The 20,368-nt window shown below is 51.3% G+C and overlaps 1 protein-coding gene and 2 long non-coding RNA genes across 3 annotated transcripts, besides 7 other annotated features; 2 read left to right on the forward strand and 1 right to left on the reverse strand.

Annotated features, from left to right (window-relative positions):
• Positions 1-3,498: 3,498 nt before the first annotated feature.
• Positions 3,499-8,115, forward strand: LINC01305 (long intergenic non-protein coding RNA 1305). Its single transcript, NR_038897.1, has 3 exons — positions 3,499-4,882; positions 5,929-6,308; positions 6,757-8,115. It is a non-coding gene; the product is annotated as a long intergenic non-protein coding RNA 1305 (long non-coding RNA).
• Positions 3,603-4,420: an enhancer, noted in NCBI's record as "H3K27ac-H3K4me1 hESC enhancer chr2:175190859-175191676 (GRCh37/hg19 assembly coordinates)". NCBI's record gives its function as "activates a minimal SCP1, AML or CMV promoter by ChIP-STARR-seq in primed H9 embryonic stem cells {active_cell/tissue: H9 hESC(primed)}" and the evidence as "EXISTENCE:reporter gene assay evidence [ECO:0000049][PMID:30033119]".
• Positions 3,888-4,007: an enhancer, noted in NCBI's record as "active region_16771". NCBI's record gives its function as "activates an Ori minimal core promoter by ATAC-STARR-seq in GM12878 lymphoblastoid cells {active_cell/tissue: GM12878}" and the evidence as "EXISTENCE:reporter gene assay evidence [ECO:0000049][PMID:35858748]".
• Positions 6,057-6,872: an enhancer, noted in NCBI's record as "H3K4me1 hESC enhancer chr2:175193313-175194128 (GRCh37/hg19 assembly coordinates)". NCBI's record gives its function as "activates a minimal SCP1, AML or CMV promoter by ChIP-STARR-seq in naive H9 embryonic stem cells {active_cell/tissue: H9 hESC(naive)}" and the evidence as "EXISTENCE:reporter gene assay evidence [ECO:0000049][PMID:30033119]".
• Positions 8,787-9,858: an enhancer, noted in NCBI's record as "VISTA enhancer hs860". NCBI's record gives its function as "enhancer in: forebrain[5/9]" and the evidence as "EXISTENCE:transgenic organism evidence [ECO:0001131][PMID:17130149]".
• Positions 10,466-12,448, reverse strand: LOC102724194 (uncharacterized). Its single transcript, XR_427194.5, has 3 exons — positions 11,212-12,448; positions 11,029-11,097; positions 10,466-10,532 (listed from the first exon to the last, which is right to left on the reverse strand). It is a non-coding gene; the product is annotated as an uncharacterized LOC102724194 (long non-coding RNA).
• On the forward strand, positions 12,426-15,972 carry SP9 (Sp9 transcription factor). Its single transcript, NM_001145250.2, has 2 exons — positions 12,426-12,585; positions 13,579-15,972. Exons 1-2 carry the CDS (start codon positions 12,565-12,567, stop codon positions 15,010-15,012), a joined length of 1,455 nt encoding a protein of 484 aa, NP_001138722.1. The 5' UTR covers positions 12,426-12,564; the 3' UTR covers positions 15,013-15,972.
• Positions 14,358-14,567: a silencer, noted in NCBI's record as "silent region_12125". NCBI's record gives its function as "represses an Ori minimal core promoter by ATAC-STARR-seq in GM12878 lymphoblastoid cells {active_cell/tissue: GM12878}" and the evidence as "EXISTENCE:reporter gene assay evidence [ECO:0000049][PMID:35858748]".
• Positions 16,007-17,639: an enhancer, noted in NCBI's record as "VISTA enhancer hs953". NCBI's record gives its function as "enhancer in: neural tube[13/13] | hindbrain (rhombencephalon)[11/13] | forebrain[10/13]" and the evidence as "EXISTENCE:transgenic organism evidence [ECO:0001131][PMID:17130149]".
• Positions 19,053-19,347: a silencer, noted in NCBI's record as "tiled region #8106; K562 Repressive DNase unmatched - State 4:PromP". NCBI's record gives its function as "represses a minimal TATA promoter and a strong SV40 promoter by Sharpr-MPRA in K562 cells {active_cell/tissue: K562}" and the evidence as "EXISTENCE:reporter gene assay evidence [ECO:0000049][PMID:27701403]".

Raw genomic sequence — 20,368 nt, forward strand, 5'->3', positions numbered from 1 at the left:
TGTATTCAGTTGCTAGGGTAACTGTGGTTTCAAAACTACCATAACAAAAGCCAGATATCACATATCAAACTACCAAATTATTAATTTGACTGGTATTTTAAAATAATTGCTTGAAAGAGATGTTTTCTCCTTATCTTAGCTATACAGAAAAGAGGGAAAGGGAGATCAGGAAGAAAAGAAGAAAAAGGGAGAAAAAAACTGATAGATCTGTTAAGAAATGTTTTTGCCTTGCTAAATATTTGTTGGAAGTAAAAATTCTTTTACATTATGGATACATTTGCATGCAGGATTTATTTAGTCAGATTCAAAACATAAGGAGGATACTGGGTTATTCTGTTTTCAATTTCTATTCCCGCATTTCAAGCCTTGCCTGGGTTTTAAGTGAACAGTTTTCCATTGGGTATTTGGTAAAGGAAATGGTTACTTAGGGGAGTCATGCATGTTCTGAAATCTTTTATGAGTGATTGTGTTTTTTCTGTGCCTTGCTTTTCATCACTTGATTTAAAGTGAATATAATAAAGCCATTAATTGCTTGGATTCTGGAATCAGTCATATCTTGGACTAAATTCCTTTTCTATCCCTTACTAAATTCCTTTAACATCTCTGAGTTTCTTTATTTTTAAAAAGAGTAAGTCCAGGCAAAGTGGCTTACTCCTGTAATCTGAACACTTTGGGATGCCGAGGCGGGTGGATCACTTGAGCCCAGGAGTTTGAGACCAGCCTGAGCAACATGGTGAAACCCTGTCTCTACTAAAAGTAAACAAATAAATAAATTGCTGGGCATGGTGGCATGTTCCTGTAGTACCAGCCACCTGGGAGGCTGAGATAGGAGGATCCATTGAGCCCGGAAGGTCAGGGTGCAGTGAGCCATGATTGCACCACTGTTCTCCAGCCTGGGCGACAGAGTGAGACCTTGTCTCTAAATTAATTAATTAATTAATTAAAACTTTAAATATAAAAGAATATCAGCTGAGGGCTGTGGTGTGCATCTGTAGTCCCAGCTACTGGAGAGGCTGAGGTAGGAGGATCCCTTGGGACCAGGAGTTTGAGCCTATAGTGCGTTATGATCCCACCTGTGAATAGCAACTGGAGTCTGGCCTGGAAAACGTAGTGGGACCCTGTCTGTTAAAAAAACAGGGTGGGGGGTTGGGGGGAGGGGGATATCAGAACAAATGACTGACTGACTTCAACAAATAAATTGCAAGGAAAGGAAAAGAGAGAGAGGAACCTATAGATTAAAAGACACTTGGGAGGTATATTAACTAAATGCAATGTGTGCATGTTTAGATCTGATTTGAAAAAAAAAACTAAAAAAATCATTTTTGACACAACTGGGGAGACTTGAACATTGATTAGATATCTAATAATATTAAGGAATCATTTTAAATGTGTTTAGATATAATTATAGAGTAACATGGTATTGGAGGATTTTTGGTGTTATTTTTTGACATTTTGATACATACCGTAACATTTACAAATAAAGTAATATAATATCTGAGATTTGCCTCAAAATAAGGAAGAGGGAAATGGATGGGATAGAGATGAAACAAGTTTGGCCATGAGCTGACAACTGTTGACACTGGGTGATGGAGATAGAGGGGTTCGTTAAAATATTCTGTCTATTTCTAAATAAATACTTGATTTTTTTTTTCAATTTTCGGACAGGATCTTGCTCTGTCTCCCAGTCTGGAGTGCAGCGGCGCAATCAAGGCTCACTGCAGCTTCGACCTCCCAGGCTCAATCTATTCTCCCATGTCAGCCTCCCCAGTAGCTGGGACCATACGCACACACAACCATGCTCAGCTAATTTTTGTATTTTTTTATAGAGACAGGGTTTTACCATGTTGCCTAGGCTGCTCTCAAACTCCTGGGCTCAAGGGATCTGCCCTGCCTTGGCTTCCCAAAGTGCTGGGATTATAAGCTTGAGCCACTGTGCCCAGCAGATATTTTCTACAATAAAAGTTTTTAAAAAGATATCAGTAAGACTCACCTGGTAAGATTATTGTGTGGATTAAATGAGATGCTGTGTGTAAAGCACTTGGCAGAATGCCTGGTATATAATAACCGCTCAATAAATATTAGCTATTACTTTTAGAGACAAGGCCTCCTCTTCCCCTCCTGGAGAACTATGAAAGCCAGACCATGAAATGTGTGGCTGACTGGAGCAGCTAACCTTACTCCTTCCAAATCAGGCAGCTGCAGGCTGTCATTGCATTCATCCTCATCCAACCTTGCTTCTGTACTAGGCCCTGTGCTTCCCACACACACACTAAAATTCTGTTTTATAGCGGCTGTTGGCTTTGCCTTTAGTTTCACAGTAAGTTTTAGCTGGGAATGTTATTTCAGTGGAAAATGGAAGGCAAGAACTTTTTTAGCTCAACTATTAATAAGTATGGAGCACATTGTTAGGAATTTTCCTATATAGTTTTATTTAACCTTCATAACAATCCTTCAAAGTCGAAATTATTAGCTTCATTTTAGAGAGAAGGAAACACAAGTTTCAAGGCCCGCCCAAGGTCACAGGGCCTTAAGTGGTGGGCCTTAAGTGGTGGGCCTTAATTCACACCCACCTCCTGAGACCTCCAAAGGGCTTGTGCTTACCCAGGAGCCCTAGCTATCAGCTCTGTTGCCTTTCTTTTCCTTATCCTAGCTTAAAAACAACTGCCATCCAGAAAAGGTTAAGTTGACATTCCTAATCAAAAGAGTCTGGACCAGACGCGGTGACTCACGTCTGTAATCCCAGCGCTTTGGGAGGCCCAGGTGGGTGGATCACGAGGTCAGGAGTTCGAGACCAGCCTGACCAAGATGGTGAAACCCCGTCTCTACTAAAAATACAAAAAATTAGGCGGGCGTGGTGCCGGGCGCCTGTAATCCCAGCTTCTAGGGAGGCTGGAGCAGGAGAATCGCTTGAACCCGGGAGGCGGAGGTCGCAGTCAGCCGAGATCACGCCACTGCATTCCAGCCTGGGCGACTGGGTGAGACTCTTTTCAAAAAAAAAAAAAAAAGAGTCTGACGCCGTATTTATCTGTCTTGTAGAGGCAGAGGCAGCACTGGTTTGCAGCCCAGCGGTAAGAGGTCTGCCCAACTGATGAGGAGAGTTACAGGCTTGGGAGTAGCTTGGGCCGGGCAGAGGGGAGGCTCTGAATGTAGTAATAGAGAGAAAAAGGTTTTCAGGATTGCACCGATATTTGTGTTTCATTTCCCCCTTGTTCCAAATGCTGTTCAACTTAAGGGAAGAAGAAAGCAGGGAGGGATACCTTATACGAAAACTGTTCCATTCCGAAAATTAAAAACAGCCAGCTGCCATCAAATACCAAGGGCCCTTATATTCAAACTTCAGCTGTAATTTAGTTGGGAGGTTGCAATGGCACCCTAAACTGTCAAATGATTTGACCTTAGAATCCTGCTTACATAAAGCCGGACAATTCCATGCAAGGGGGGTGTCTGGTTACAACTGAAGTTATTGGTTGTTTACGTCCGACTTGTCCGGGAATGGAGCAGAGAAAGAGGAACCAGAAGAAAGAGAAACTCGCGACAACAGAGTTGCCGAAAGAGAAGTGTTGGCGCCTCAAACTTGAGGATCAGCTTCTTGGGCCCCACTCCAGGGTGTCGCGGGGGTCGGGTTCTTTCCGCCGCCCCCCGAAAGATTCTCAGCTAACCCTTTCCCCGCCGAGACCAAGAGGCCCTCACTCTGACACCACTCCGGGAGCCAAGCTACTGTAAGGAGCTGATACCACCCCTCGCCGGCGCGAACCGCCCATCTCCCCAGACCCGCCCACCCCCTGCTGCGAATCCCTGACGTTCTAGCCCGGCGAAGGTCCTCTTAAATTAGGAAACAATAGCTATTTAAGAAGAAGCGCAAATAACCCGCGCTCTGCGCGCCCAATCGTGGGATTCTTGGGAGTTCCCCGCGGGCAAGGAAGTCTGCTGCTCCCCGCAGCTGCGGAGGAGAGGAGGGAGCCTGCGTGCTGGGGCAGGGTGTCGCGAACTTGGGGCAACCCACCTCCAGAGCCCCGCCCCCGCTTTCCCGCCTGCCGGGGACCTGCCGAACGCGGAACCACCCTCCTTCCTGAGGCAAATTTGGGAGGGGAGAGGTCCAGAAGCTGTAGAGTCGGGGCGCCAAGCGCCAGATTCTGCCGCTCGGAAGTTGGGGGCAGTCCCCAGTCCCGCCTCAGGCCCCCGCGCTCACAGGGCGCTCCGCCGAGGGCGCGGGCCAGGCGCGCGGTGTCACCTCCACGAAGTCATTTACTTGCCCTGAAGGAGCTGGCCCTCGACCCCTTGGAGGATGGAGATTCCTCCCATTCCCTCCTCCGCCTCCCCCAGGTCGGCGAAGAGACGTGGAATTGAGCTGGACCGATGATTCCGCGAGCTCTGTAATTATGCACACACTGAAATCTTCACCGTTGACTTAAGTTACTTGGCGCTGCGAGGGCTGGGGCCCTGCATATTGATTAAATGCAGCCTCTATTTACCTAAACAATAAATGTAGAGATTAGCAACGTTCACTTGATCACAATAATGGGATTGACAATTAAGGGGCAATGCATCCCAGATGTAGCGGAACCTATGGGCTGCGTGCAGCAGGCAGAGGGCTTCTCAGAGAGGGGCGCTGGGCAGTTGCGGCGGCGGAGGTAGTGCAGAGCAGGAAGCAGCGCGGAAGCACAGCGGGAGGCGGAGGGGGACGCCCAGCCTCGTCAAGGTCTTCGGCCACCCCGCCCGGGAGGCTCGAAACTGGCTTTGGGGTACCTGAATGCCTCGACTCCCAGGGAGACATCGGGAGCTCGGAGCCACTCTCCCTGTGGCGATGGCACCTGCCTCAAGGCCGTCTCGCTTGCTGATGCCTGGCCGGGAAGGAGGATGGACGCCGCTGGCATGTGCCCTGGTAAGTGTGTCTGTTTGTCATCAGTGTACATTCTGCATGTGGCAGCAGGGCGAGGGGGAGGCGCACGTGTCTAAAGTGCACGGAGCCTTCCTCTACCCCTATGTATATACCCTTCAGTCAATGTTCCAAGAAGCGGGTCAGGGCGGAGGGTATCCATCTGGACTCTGGAAGGGCGTGGGTTTGACATCGGTAGGTGTGACAGGAAAGTCCAGCCTGTCAGAGTTGGGCTCTACAGTGGCCGAAATCAAGAAAGGATGGACGTGTCGGCCCAGGGCTGGCCTGTTTCCGGATATGTCACGGGGGTGCCTCGTTCCTCGAGGGGAGTTTTAGGATGTATCTTTTTTTCTCACCCTCTCACTGAACTGTAGGGTTCTGAGAAGAGGTTCTAGGAAGGAGAGGGCTGAAAGGAACTAAGAAAAGAACCCAGGAGAGTGGAACATGGGGTAATAAAAGACAGATGAGCACAGTTGGGTGTGTGTGTGAAACCGTGATCCACCTGGAAGGGGTTCCAAACCCTGGACTAACATCGCATACTGGCTGCAAAAGACACATGCGTGTTGCTTCTCTGCTCTTTCCCTCTTCTGTCTGAGCCCCATTATCAACCTGGAAGGCTTCTCATTCCACATTTAGACACAAACAAAAGGATTTGTCCCAGACACTCAAGAACAAGCCAGGACGAAGCCCTTTCCCGCCAAACCACGAAGGCCGGGAAATAAACAGCGCCTGCCCAGGCTCTGGGCGCGCGAGCCCAGGAGAGGACTTGGGTGGGAAGAGGATCTAGAAGATCGGAAGGAGGGAGAGAGGGAGGGAGAGAGGGAGGGAGGGAGAAGCTTGGAAAGAGAAGAGGGAGGAGGAAGAGGAGGGACCAGCAAGGCAGAGTTGGACCCGGGGTTCTGTTATAACCGCCCTTCCCCGCCCAGGGTCTTTCCATCCCCTGTCCCCCTCCCCCATTTCAGAGCTGAAGGCCGACTGTGGGAGGAGGAGGTTAAACAAAGGGAATCCTCCTCCTCTGGGACGGGTGAAGTGCGTTTGTCTTCTCCTTGCAGGCTCTGGAAAAACTGGCAGGAATTTCCTTGTCGTGAGAAGATGGACGAGTGTGTCTGCAGCCGAGGAGACAACTACAAACAGACTTTGGGCAGGGAAGGCGGGCGGGCGGGGGTGGGGGTGGGGGCGGGGGCCTGCTTTGATCGCTCCAGCTCTGTTGTAATTTTGTCTTCGCCAGATAGATTAGCTGGAACCGCCAGCCCTAGCTTGGAGTTCCGTTCCACGGAGTACCCTCCCTCCCCACCCCCAGCGTCATCTCGCGCCTGGAGCCGGGTCGCCGCTCCTTCCGAAGTCTCGCTGGAAACTTCAAGGGCTGATGGTTCTGTGTTCTTGACGTAATTAGGAGGCCACGCAGCTCTCCAACACTCCGTTAAACAAATATGTAAGTCGTCCTCCCCCTCTCTGGGGACAGACTCTAGGGAAGGAGGCAGCTGGGCCCGCTCCGGGTGGTGTCCTTGGCTAGCGGAGTGGCGTCGCTGTGACCTTCCGCCGCCCCTCGGGGCCTTGGTCTTTCTAAGCTCTTTCTTAGGAAGCGGAGAGAGGGGCAGAAAACGTGCACCTCGCCACCCACCGGACAAGCCGAGAGGACCTTGTCTTTGCTTGAAAAGTTTTCTAGATAAATCGCTCGGGTGGTTCTAAGCTATGACGAACTAGAGGCTGGGCCCGGTTCTTCTCCAGAACAGCGTGTGGATGTAAAGGAGATGAAATCGTCCTCCCCCACTGCTTTCTTTTTCTTCCCCATATAAATCAGTCATATAATTCATTCGCATTGTTTAAGGTACATTGATCAATCTAATGGCTTGTAATAGTCTCCTAATTGCCACTTGCAGACTCCTGCAGGCTCAGATTTGAAGAGGGAAGGTTCCAGCCAAGTCCACCTTAAGCCTGAGTTTGGGCGACTACAGAATCCAGGAAGAAAATCTAGATGGCATGGTCGCTCCGGTCTCAGTTCTACAGGGGAGGGAAGAAAGGGGGTGTTAGTGGGGATATTTGCTGTTCATTTTTCCCGCAATCTCCCTTCCAAATCAGTCACTGATTAATGAGCAAAGCCCATGCCACAAGTTATAGATTACTGTGGACTGAGGATCATTTTGTTAATATCAGGCAAGAAACTTGCCTTACTTGCATCCCTGTGTCTGTATTTACAGTAACAACTTCCTTAGTCACAAACTGATATGCTTTTAGCCATACCTTTTCTTCTTACTTACTTATTTTTAGCATCATCAGGAGTTGGGATAGGAAATAACATGGGGGAGGGGTGTGTTAAAGGGAAGGAAGGAAAAGCCATCCTTTATCCCAGAGTGTCCTGGAGGTATGCCTACACTCCTGTTTAACATCTTGTGGTTGTAGTGCCTTCTCCAAGCCCTGGATGGAGGAGGAAAGAGTTGGAAGCCTCCTCAAATCTGCCTATGAAAGGGTAAAACTGAGGAAACTGGTACCCTAGCTATGAGAAGCTGAGTAATGATCAGAATCCTCTGGCCTCTGGCTTTTCTTGATATTAGTTCAGGTCTATGCAAAAAAATTGCTTTAGTGTCTCCAAAGGTGGTTCCATTAGAGTTGGCTGAGACAATACATGTGCATCATTTTGGAAGAGATGCTCTTAAAAAGAAGAAAGCCACTACAGAATGCCACATTTGCTTAGGTCTAAGACCCTTCTGTGGTAGTCGGTGAGGGAGGGAGGAAAGTAAAACCCCAAGCTGAATAGGCCCCCCATAGTTTCCGAGTGATGCAGTAAACAAATCTATGATGCTTGTTGAATAATCTTCCAATAATTGCAGTCATTAAAATCATCACACAGTCTACAGTCACCTTCCTTCCTTTGACACACCAGTCTTTCCCTTAATTGTTAATGCATTTTTGGCTCAGATAAACACATAGAGGCCAGCTTAAAATATATGGCCCAGATACATCTAACAGCAGAAAATTAGTTGTGTAACAAACGTTTGGACTGTGCTTAATAGACTAGGGGTTTTCAATTTCTTCAGCAGACCCTACAGAGGCAAGAAAGATTTGCATCTTCTACCACTGCTAAATAGCAGTGACGCCTCTGAGATACAAAAAAAAAAAAAAAAGAAAAAAAAGATGAAAGTCCCATTGGCCTATTGAATCTTCCTTGCTCTTTCATTTGCAAGGGTTGGGCTGGAATTAGGACATTATAGAACAAATATTAAAGGAAAGCTTAACAGAAACTGTGGGAGAGTTCCTCAATTTTCAATTAATTTTCTCCATCCATTTGATCTCAACAACTGGTGCTTTAAAAAATATAAATATGTGTCAACTATAAAAGATTCCCTGCTAATCAAAGGCTGTATTTCATTTTCACCCACCACTGACAAGACACCAACCGTGGAAAGGATTCACCCGACTCAACAGGCACTATGGACCTTCCTGGGCTTCCTTCTCCCTTGTTCATGGCAGGCAACATTGGTACACAAGGGCAGCTTTTTCTTTTTTTAACTCAAGTTATTAATGTATCTCCGCAACTCCCACACCGTGCTGACCTGATAATCACTGCTCTAGTGAAGATCATGCAAATGAAAAGCATAATTAATTGCACAAATGATTTAAAAAGGAGCGCTGTGGCTTTGCAAATAAATAAAGGCAGTTGGGAGGACAGGTCAGATAAATGCTTTTTATAGGCTGGGCTCCCTTCACCCCCACCCCCGCCTCCTGGTCCCGGTGGTCCAGACTTTGACTGCAGCCAGCCTGGCCAAGGCGAGCACCTTCCGTTCCTCCTCCCCTAACGCCTCCCCTTCAACCTTATTCCGGAGTCCCCCTAACTCCACCTCACCCCACCCCAACCTCACCCCACCCCAGTGGTGTATACCCGCTGCTAGACTCTGTGCTAGGTCAAAGCTCCGGGGAGACTGGGCAGCCACCTAATATTTAACCAGCTACTACATATCCAGTTATTCAGAAAATAACTGGTCCTCCCAGTCGCCACTACGCTTCCTGCACATCAGGAAGAAGCATTTTATCTGTGGCTATTGGACCTGTGAAGGAGGTCCAATCCTTCCGATTAGCGCTAATGACCGAATTGTTTCCCTGGCTTTGCCTGCTAAACAGAGCAACTTGAGCAGTTGCTCAGATCAAAGCTCCCGGGAGAGGCAAGATGGGAGAAACAATATTTGTTCAAAGGAAGTGAACTCTTCCCTTTAATTACCCTATTCTTCTTTATTAGGAATCGTATTGAATTTTTTTGCAAAAAAATTATGTTGGTTTAACCATAGTGTATTTATGATGTAAATATATTCCAAGATGAAAACGTCACGGATCAATTGTAAAGGACCCGGATACATAATTTTAAAAAATCAGTTTCAGTGTATATGAGGTTCTCACCCCACTTTCGCTGCTCAGTCAGATTTGTTTATGCAGAATCGACATTTAATAGTGCTAATTGCACTCCAGTTAAATTGCCCTGATTGCAGAAAGGGAAGCAATTTTCGTGCTCTCTGTCTGGGTTTGGAAGAAATTGTTTTATATTCACCTCTTTATAAAGAAGTGGAGATAAGGCACCGGGGCCTTTGCACAAATTGCACTTAGGGGCTGACTGGCAGCATTCAGGCGCTATAATAGAGCATTATTTGGCCGTTTTGAATAATGTAAAGCGTTTGCTGAAAGCTATTCTCCTGAAAATTGCTTTAACTTTTAAAAGGGTGATGATTCACTCCAAACCAGGCCTTTGTTACATTGTCATTATTTCCCCAAATGTTTTAACAGTCAGCTCAACACTTTAGCATAACACATTGATCTTTGTTTAAAAACTAGATTTTTTTAGAGGATGAAAAAAATCTGTCAGACGAAAAAAATCTGGACTTCCTCCGAAAGATTTCCTTGGGGCCCCACCTTAGAGTTGAAGTGGCCCGGGTGTTTGCCTGCGTTCGTTTGGAAGATTTCCCTAACTTTTATTGTGATGCAGACGCGTGTATCTAAAGGAATATGCGAGTGCCCACGTCTAGAGTCTGACAGCTGGAACTACGGGGAAAACGGCGGGAGGGGGAGGGGAGGGGATCCGAGGGGAGGAGGAGAAGAGGAAGGCGAGCAGGGCGCCGGAGCCCGAGGTGTCTGCGAGAACTGTTTTAAATGGTTGGCTTGAAAATGTCACTAGTGCTAAGTGGCTTTTCGGATTGTCTTATTTATTACTTTGTCAGGTTTCCTTAAGGAGAGGGTGTGTTGGGGGTGGGGGAGGAGGTGGACTGGGGAAACCTCTGCGTTTCTCCTCCTCGGCTGCACAGGGTGAGTAGGAAACGCCTCGCTGCCACTTAACAATCCCTCTATTAGTAAATCTACGCGGAGACTCTATGGGAAGCCGAGAACCAGTGTCTTCTTCCAGGGCAGAAGTCACCTGTTGGGAACGGCCCCCGGGTCCCCCTGCTGGGCTTTCCGGCTCTTCTAGGCGGCCTGATTTCTCCTCAGCCCTCCACCCAGCGTCCCTCAGGGACTTTTCACACCTCCCCACCCCCATTTCCACTACAGTCTCCCAGGGCACAGCACTTCATTGACAGCCACACGAGCCTTCTCGTTCTCTTCTCCTCTGTTCCTTCTCTTTCTCTTCTCCTCTGTTCCTTCTCTTTCTCTGTCATAATTTCCTTGGTGCTTTCGCCACCTTAAACAAAAAAGAGAAAAAAATAAAATAAAAAAAACCCATTCTGAGCCAAAGTATTTTAAGATGAATCCAAGAAAGCGACCCACATAGCCCTCCCCACCCACGGAGTGCGCCAAGACGCACCCAGGCTCCATCACAGGGCCGAGAGCAGCGCCACTCTGGTCGTACTTTTGGGTCAAGAGATCTTGCAAAAGAGGAGAGAAAACACGGGAGGCACAGTTCCACATCCTTGTCACTTGCACCGGCTCCGCGACAACTCGTCGTTTGCACCCGAGGGTTTGGGGTTGGTAGTTTAATTTTTTTTTTTTCCTAAGAAGCAGGGTGTGGGTTTAGTGGGGAGTGTGCTATATTAAAACCAGTGCCCAGGTCTGCCCGAGGGCGCTGGTATTTCTGGTTCAAAAACAGCTTCTGGCTACCCTGGAGAAGAAAGAGAAAGCGGGGCCCAGAAAGAGAAAAACAAGCAGGTCAGCGGTTGCTGGGGGACTCGAAGACGCACCCTGGTCTGCTTGAGGACGCCTCTTTTCACACTGACAAGGTCCAGGGAGGACTTCAGGATGCTTCCAGCCTGCAAAATGTGGAAGCGCCCACGTGTGGCCTGGTCCTCCGCCCTCCCGGGTGAAAGTCCTGGAGAGATTTCTCGGGCGCGTCCGTGAAAGCAGGGCACTAATGGGGAGCCTACCTCTTAAAACAGCGCACTTGCCCTACGGACGAGCCTCTAGGCCCTGGTGGTCTGGAATGGGAGTGGGTTGGAGCTGGGACAAGAAAACTCCACTCCAGGATGAAACGCGACATGCAAATCTTCACCGGGTTAAACAAACAGCCGAGCAAGCTGCAGCTTCAGCGGAGGTGGAGGTGGGGGCGGACGCCGCTCGCGCCGGTCTCTGTTTCCAAAGTTGTTACAGTGAGAAAATAAGCGGCTTCGTGCAGCGTGTTGTATGGGCTGATGCCTCCCACCCCCATGCCAGCCCACAGCAAAACCCGGCAGATAATCAGCACATCCCACTGTTTAGTCATATTTGACAACTGGGTTAACCTGGTATCTAAGCGCTGGCGAAACCGTACAAAGGGTGCCCTCAATTACCACCAGAAGCCTCTAGCGTGAGTGGCACTTGTATTACCCCCCGGGTCAGAGGCCAGAGCGACAATTAGGAAGTCACTTACACCGCTGGGGGGAAATGGCGGGATGCAGCAGGCTCCAGGCCCTCCCAACAAATCTGTGGATGTAGATCTGTACAGAGAGGCCTATTTCGCTCCTCTCGGAGGAGCTGTCCCTTCGCGCCCCCTCCCCAGTATAACTGTGAGAGTGAAATTGAATCTAGTGGAATAAGGAATTGGGTAGAAGACACACGAAAATGATAAAAATCACAAGCAAGAATGATAGATACAAGCTGAAGTTGTGTTCTGTAGGCAAAAGCCTGGACACACAAAGTGAGGGCTCACATTTCCGTCTCCACTTGGGCCCTGCTGGTGCGGGCTGTGTCTGGGTGTCTCCTCCCCTCCTGCCTCCTTTCCTACAAGTGGGGAGTCGAGTAGGACTGTCAGCCCTAACTTGCAACATCTCGGGGTGGTTTGTGTGTGGGGGGGTGCTTGTGGCTCGGTTTCATTGGTACTTAAACCTGGCTTGGTGCGTGAGTGTAAATTTTTAATTGCACTGTAATTTCTTCAGTCCCCAGCCCGCCCTCGCCCCCCCCCCGCAAGTATCCCCCACTACTCCCCCCCACCCCCGCGGCCCTAGCTAGCTGACTTGACTGGCACGCGCCGGGAGCCCGGGCTCGGGCCCCTCGGAGCGTCTGATTGGCTGCGGGGCAGCTCCGGTCTGCTCTGCCTGCGCCCTCATTGGGCGAGAGGCGCAGCCAGCGGCACTTCAAAGCGGGTGCTCCTCGCACTTAGGCTGAGTTTAGCCGGCGGGAGCCTGGAGTCCGCTCGGCACGAGCGCGGGGACGCGGGAGCCGCGCGGGACCCAAGCAGTTTTTCCGAGCAGCCGCCAGGCTCAGCCCCGCTCCCAGCCTCGCTGCGCAGCCAGAGACCTGCTATGGCCACGTCTATACTCGGGGTAAGTCGCAAGCGCGGCAACGCATTTGCTTGTTTTAACCGGAGTAATTTTTCGTTATGGCTTCTGGGGTCTGCGGCTCCGGAGAAACTGTTGCTGCTAGACTGCAGCTTCAGCTTCTATTAGCACTTTCCACATTTCTGGGACTGATTTTTCCCCAAGTTTTTGGAACCCAGAAAGATGCCTTTGCAAGAAAAGGCCTTCTTAATCAAGTCCTTTTTCATTTGGTTTCAAAAAAAAGCTAGAGGTTTCTTTTCTTCCCCTCGTGATTTATACCCCATCCCCCGCATTGCTTTGGGGATTTTGTTGCAATTATGCGACAATGGTGTTTCCAGAAAACAGTCTTAATCGTTTTGCAGTCCATCTAGTCACGCTAATAAACATTTACATTTCCGCGGCTCCCCAATTCGCCCATGACTTTGAAATCTGTCTCTGGCCGCTTATCCTCGGATTATTGTTTTCATAATCGCTGTTTTTGTGTGTATGTAAACTTTAAAACCAAACGTTTTCTATTAAAAAAGAAAAGTCAAGTCGTAGCCACCCTGGGAGAGCTGCAAGTTTCGCCCGTCCCTGGCAGCTGTTTCGGCCGCCTCCGCCCTCACCCGGTGTTTGTTGTCTCTGGTCTCTGTGTTTACCTTCGCGCTTCACCCCGAAGGGCGACTTGGGGTCTTCTGGGAGATGAGCCGGTTTACGGCGACAACCCAAGTCCGGTTGTAGGCAGGGTTGCAGCGGGGAACACGGAGGCATCTTTGATTTATAGCCTCAGCGAAGTGCAACTTTCCGGCGCCTGGACCTTCGCCCGGGTGATCGCCCCTGCTCCGCGCCCGGTGCGGCGACTCCTCCGCGGGCGCGTGGGGAGGAGGCGCGAGGCGGGGAGCCAGGACCCCCCGGGAGCAGCCGCAGGGGACGAGGCTGCTCACGGGTGCACTTTGTTTCTTCCCCCACTTCCTCTTGCCCTCCTCCTTCTTGCTCCCTCCCCCATCCCACCCACTCTAGGAAGAGCCGCGCTTCGGAACGACCCCGTTGGCCATGCTGGCGGCGACCTGCAACAAGATCGGCAACACGAGCCCGCTGACGACGCTGCCAGAGTCGAGCGCCTTCGCCAAAGGCGGCTTTCACCCCTGGAAGCGCTCCTCGTCCAGCTGCAACCTCGGCTCCAGCCTCTCGGGCTTCGCGGTGGCCACCGGGGGCCGTGGCTCGGGCGGCCTGGCGGGCGGCTCGGGCGCCGCCAACAGCGCCTTCTGCCTGGCCTCCACGTCGCCCACGTCGTCCGCCTTCAGCAGCGACTACGGCGGCCTCTTCTCCAACTCGGCGGCTGCCGCGGCGGCAGCGGCCGGGGTGTCCCCGCAGGAGGCGGGTGGCCAGTCGGCCTTCATTTCCAAGGTGCACACGACGGCAGCCGACGGGCTGTACCCGCGCGTGGGCATGGCGCACCCGTACGAGTCCTGGTACAAGTCGGGCTTCCATTCGACGCTGGCGGCCGGCGAGGTGACCAACGGCGCGGCGTCGTCGTGGTGGGACGTGCACAGCAGCCCGGGCTCGTGGCTGGAAGTGCAGAACCCCGCTGGGGGGCTCCAGAGCTCGCTGCACTCGGGCGCCCCCCAGGCCTCGCTGCACTCGCAGCTGGGCACCTACAACCCCGACTTCAGCTCGCTCACGCACTCCGCCTTCAGCTCCACGGGCCTCGGCTCCTCCGCCGCCGCCGCCTCCCACCTGCTCTCCACCAGCCAGCACCTGCTGGCCCAGGACGGCTTCAAGCCGGTGTTGCCCTCCTATTCGGACTCCAGCGCCGCCGTGGCAGCCGCCGCCGCCAGCGCCATGATATCGGGCGCCGCGGCTGCCGCCGCCGGGGGGAGCTCGGCACGCTCTGCCCGCCGCTACTCGGGCCGCGCCACCTGCGACTGCCCCAACTGCCAGGAGGCGGAGCGGCTGGGCCCGGCCGGGGCGAGCCTGCGGCGCAAGGGCCTGCACAGCTGCCACATTCCGGGCTGCGGCAAGGTGTACGGGAAGACGTCGCACCTGAAGGCGCACCTGCGCTGGCACACGGGCGAGCGGCCCTTCGTGTGCAACTGGCTCTTCTGCGGCAAGCGCTTCACGCGCTCGGACGAGCTGCAGCGGCATCTGCGGACTCACACGGGCGAGAAGCGCTTCGCCTGTCCGGTGTGCAACAAGCGCTTCATGCGCAGCGACCACCTGAGCAAACACATTAAGACGCACAACGGGGGCGGCGGGGGCAAAAAGGGCAGCGACAGTGACACGGACGCCAGCAACCTGGAGACGCCCCGTTCCGAATCCCCCGACCTCATCCTGCATGACTCCGGCGTCAGTGCCGCCCGGGCGGCGGCAGCGGCGGCGGCGGCAGCGGCGGCGGCGGCGGCGGCGGCCTCCGCGGGAGGCAAGGAAGCAGCGTCTGGCCCCAACGACTCTTAGAGGCCGGGCGAGAGGCGCGAGCACACAAGCGAGTAGAGACACCGAGAACGAACGAGAGGTTCGGAGGGCGAGCGAGCGGGAGGCGGGAGGGCAGGGGCTTCAGTGACGCCCCCAGGGCCCGGGCTGGGCGCGAGGTGGAGCCGCTCAGGGCTCCCGGGCTGCGGTTCGCCCGCTGTGCGAGGAGCTCCCCTCTGCCTTCCGCGCCCGGATAAGAATCGAACGCGTGGTCCGGAAACAAAAGCGAACCATCCTCCGACACAAACACTTTAAAAACTGTACTCCCAGACGTACACATACACCGGAGACCTACAACCACAAGCACGCACACTCGCGCGCGCACACACATACCACTCGCCCAAACTTCTCGAGCGAAGAGCAATACATAGAAAGGCTCCCTCTTTGCCCACTCTCCACCTCCCTCCAACACCCGTCTCTTTCCTTTTCTCAAAAACAAGCCACCACCCAGCAAAGGACTGTCAGAACATTTGAAAACAAACGGGACCGATAAAAACACCCTTTGTTTGGATTATATTATATATAAAATGCTCCAAGTCCTGCCTGATATCTACTTACAATGAGACTTTTTTCCTAAAAAAGGAAGCATCAAAAGGCTTAAGGTGAGAAATTAAACTGGAAGTCTAGCGACAGTTTCTCTGTATTTCATAACATCTGTATAAATAGGGTTCAAAAGATTGTGTTCTCTTTTATTTTCTTGTAAATGTTCATTCGAATAGAGTTTTTTTGGGTGAATCCCTGAAATTCAGGGAGTTTTTTTTAATTTTCTGATGCACTTTGTGAAAGTCAGTATATATGTAAAAGATATTTAAAATGTTGAGTTATCATTTCACTCACAAACACGTAAGTTAAGGTCATCTAAAGAAATTAAATGCGTTTATCTGTATCAAGAAAATCTTGACATCATATTTTCATTTTGGTATTATTAAAGGACTCTGAACAATACATTTCCTTTTTTAAAAATCCTGTTTCCCCCTCAATAACCTTTTCGTGGGTCGATTTTTTTTTCGGTTGGGAAAAAATTCCCTTAATGTTAGTTGTAGGTAATGTAAAGTTTATGTGGGTTATAAAAGCCATACTACATATACGTTTTTGAGAAGTCAAAATTATTTATTTGTATATCAACAACATAAATTAAATTGGGTTGTAAGGACGTGTAGTTGTATTACTTAATGTGAAGGCTCTCAAAAGGTGACATTTTAAAACTCTGGAGCGCCTAAAAAATGCAAAGGTCCTTGGCAGCTTTAATTGGGGAGGTGCCTAAACCTCTGGGAGGGGTCAGAGAAAACTCTGGTGGGTTTGTTTGTTTTTAAAAAGTGATTTAAAAACAACTGTGAAAGGAAAACGCTTAAAAAAAAAGAAGTCTTTTAGCTCCCAAGGCCCTGTATGTTGGAAGGCAACTCAAGGGAATAAATCGCTAGAGTCAATACCCCGGAAAAGACATTTCATGCCTAAATGAAAATCTTGTTAAATGTTATTAATTTTGACTTAGAGCACACAGCAGCCCCCTGTGCCTTGTATTCCCTTATTAGGGATTCATGTCTTATCAAATATCTAATTAATCTCCTAGACATCATTTGTTCTGGCCAACTTTATCTCAGCTGGTCCGCGGGGAAAACTCCAAATATTCTCTGTGACAAAGCTCCCTTGAAGATCTTTTTAATTGTCTAAATTAACTGCACCAAATTTGCATGTCAAACGGTAAAGGGCAACCTGAGATAAAATGTAAACGTTTTAAAAAGCCCCCAAACTAAGCACTTGATTTGATAACTAGGCTTTTTAATGTTATGGAAGACAACTGCTCCTTTCCTTTTCAAAGACGGCTGATCTATGCAAATAGTGAATTGGAAATGCCTAGGTCCCCGCGCCGTCAAATGGCCCTCGCAGGTTATTTGAATATCAGTGGCGCTGCTTCTGAAAAGGTTCAAGGATGCTCTCTGACTTCTTTGTGATTACTCAGTGCGGCGTCTTATTCTGAAGAAAAAAACTCAGGAATAATTAAAGGCTGGGATCAGGCCTGGGAACACATTTGGGACAGGAATCTCATTTAGACAGTCTCTTTCAAAATAAGGCACAGTTAAATTGACCAGAAGGCAATTATTGAAATGAAAATTATTTTCACTCTCTTTGTCTTCTGACCACCAACTTAACAGCCCCAGTTTAAAAGAGGGAGAAAAGAGGGAGAGACAAAAAGAAAATTGGTAAATGAGATAATTTCGCAATTCGAAAAAAATGTTAATTTAGAAAATAAAGTACATATTTACAGAATAAAAATATTTCTAAAAGATTTCCCACACAAGAGGAAATACAAGCGAAGTCAGCACCAACATATTTTTTTTTTCCATTTTTGATTACTGTCCGCCTTGGGAATTTGAGCGAAGATTTTGATTTTTAGGAAAGAAAAAATAAATTCTTGTTATTAACAATCAGCAAAATGTTTTCTCGGAAACTGTTCTGAAACACCAAGTCGCAAAGTAGCGATAAAACAGAACGAAGGTCCCCAGCAGGGAGTTTGCAGCGTGACATTCAATGGCTTCTTCCTTCTCCTTCTTGAGCTCCCCGCGGCCAGGCTGCCCCGCTCTTCTTACTCGAGTTTTTCTTCACTTTGGCCATTTTCTCTCCCCGATCAAGCTGTTCATAACCGGGAGCCCCCCACTCCCTAAGCGCCTCTGGTCGGGGGATGGTCTTCCGGAGAGCCGGCTGGCAGGGACGCGTTTTCCGGAGGGGCTTCGGGCCGGGGCACTGGAGGCCCAGAGGGTGCCTGGCGCGTTTGGGGGCCGCGGGCTGGCGGCGCGGAGTAGAGGGTGTGGTGGGTCTCCCCAGGAACGCGGGCGCCCGGGCGTCGGGCCCAGGGAGCTTTGTTTCTCGTTGATAATAAAGGCAGATCAAAGGGCCCGGTCGTGCAGGTCCCGCTGGCCGCGCGGCTCCCTCCGCAGGCCAGTGATCAAGGCCTGTGTGCGCTGCCTCTGCCCCGCGGGTCAGCGGACGTCCATCACCCAGGCTCCCGGGAGCGGCGGGCGGCGGCCCCGGACCGAGCGTCCAGCCGGGAGACAGCAGTCCGCGGAACCTGAGCCCAGAGGCAGCGGGGCCCCGGGGCCCCGGCCGAAGCCAACAGGCGAAAACAGGGCCTAGGCCCCCTGCCCGGCCTCCCCCAAGCCCTAGGCGCCCCTGGGGGCGCGGGGAACCTTGACCTGAGCGGGTGGCGACCGGCCGGCCGGTGATGACCAAATTGGAGACAGCGCGCGTGGGAGGCGAGATCCCGCCAGTTACAACACGAGTTCGGTCCCCAATTGCGGTGGGGCCTCGCCTCCCCAGGGCCACCTCGGGGCCCCAGAGGCCTGTGCCTTTCCGGCTCAGGGGCCAGAAGGAGCTGGAGGCGGTGGTCAGGGGCCCAAGCTCAGAGGCGGGTAGCGGCCTGGAGGTCGGTGGGGGCGGGGGACGCGGCCTGGGGGCCCAGAGTCTCGCCCGGGCCCGGTAAGGGCAGTGCGATTTCGAGTCCCCCGGTTTCCCTGGCATTTCCTGTCCCATAGCTTCCAGCGCAACAGAGGAACGAAAAGCAAGTTTTCCTCGGCCCTGCGCCCACCCAGCCACGATCCGCACCATCCTCCAGCGTTTCCTTTTCTGACACCAGTTTTCTGCCCTTGGAATGAATTGGATTCTACCTGATGAGGAAAAAGAAAAAGAAAAGAAAGAGATTTTCTTTCCTCGAGGAGGGAAACAACATTATTTTGACTAGATTAGATTGTGCACCTGAATGGTGCGTCTGGACTTTCCGTCAAATCGTTACAAGTCGTGTAAAATTGAATTTCTTTTTATTCGGATGGAAACTTTATTTATTTTAACTCTAATCTTATTTGCATCTATTATCTGTATTCACTAAGGCTCTCTTCCACTACAAAAATGCAGATGAAGTAAATCTCACATAAATCCCGCCCATTTGTGTAATTGGTATACTAAGTGTTTATTTTAAGTGAGAATAATTTAGCTACAAATTTTCTTAAGGAATAACATTCTTAACACATTAAAAAAACTGAAAACTCTGATTTGCTTTTATGTTTGACAGTAGCTCTTGATTCCCATAAGAGGAGCTTAGCTAGTGCGGCTCGCTGGCGCCACCTAGAGCTCCGAGGCGGAAAGGCCGTCGCCTGCCCGGCTCGCGGCTGTCAGCGCGTGGAGACCGGCTTTTGCCGCGAGCAGCAGCAACCAAGAGGATCCTGCGAAGAAACGCGACAGTTTGCGTTCCAGCGGGGAACGAGCCCTGCTATTGGGGGTGGGGAGCACTACATGGCAGTGGCTTTTGGGCAAAAGGGTCGTTTCTGGAACGTGCTAACTGAAAATCCAAACAAAACAAAATAACGACCGGTTGGCCCTGGTCTTAGAATTGTCCATTTAACATCCTTTTCAAGGCAACTTCAGGGTCTTCCAACTTAAGAGTTGAGAGGGCTGAAGCGTTGTCGGCGGCGACGTGGACCCCAGGATGTGGGGATCCAGCTGTGGACGCAGACCCCTCTGACTCTGCATCCGTGGCTCCCGGCCCGCGAGGCCCGCGTGGACTACCCGGGGCCCGGCTGGAACCAGGCCGATTCAAACAGGCCACCAAACCATCCCACCCCCCTACCCCCTCGTGGGCAATCAGGGAGGCAAGGGACCCGCCGCTTTCGCAGCCCCAACCCGAGGCGGGCCGGAGCAGCCTTCTGCATTGCCTTCGTCCTCCGGCGGACACCCCAGCCCGAGTGGGGCGCGGGGGGCGGCTGGGCAGGCAGGAGCCGGGCCGGTCGCGCAGGGCCCCCGAGGGCGGCGAGAAGCCCCCAAATTCCCCGCTCGAGGCCTCCCCAAAGGGTGCGCACACCCTCCTGGAGCAAACCGACCCCTTTTGTCCTCTCCTTTTCCCTTTGAAACCCAAATCTGAAATCGGGTAACAGTTGGGGGCGTTGGCCGATTTTCTCTCCTCTCAGCGTATCGTCCTCCCCCTGCCGCCCCTTTCCCTCCTCTTCCAGTCCACTATCTCCCCGACCCCAGCCCGTCTTCATACTGCGTGGAGTGACTTCCTCCTCCTCCATTTTTGTGCCCCCCACCCCCAGCGCGTATTTATTGTATTTTAATTTAAAAAGCGACACCTTCAAACCCTGCGCCCGAGGCGGCGGAGGCGCCGTCACCCGCAGCCGCGAGAGCCCGGCCAAGGCGCCTGGGTGCCGGGCTCCCTGAACTCGCGCCGGGGAGAAGCAGTGCGTTTCCGGGGACTCGCAGCCACCTTTGCGGCGGGTAACTCGGCTGGGTTTGTATTTGCTGTTTTAATACAAACCCCGCCGCACTGCCTATTTCAAAGATGTGCTAATTACTA

Source organism: Homo sapiens, chromosome 2 (genome assembly GCF_000001405.40).
Source record: "Homo sapiens chromosome 2, GRCh38.p14 Primary Assembly".
Taxonomy (NCBI): domain Eukaryota; kingdom Metazoa; phylum Chordata; class Mammalia; order Primates; family Hominidae; genus Homo; species Homo sapiens.

Coding starts and splice junctions, on each gene's coding strand:
- SP9 (NM_001145250.2), top strand. CDS start 12,565: ATGGCCACGTCTATACTCGGG. Junction 12,586..13,578: donor TGGCCACGTCTATACTCGGG/GTAAGTCGCAAG, acceptor CACCCACTCTAG/GAAGAGCCGCGCTTCGGAAC.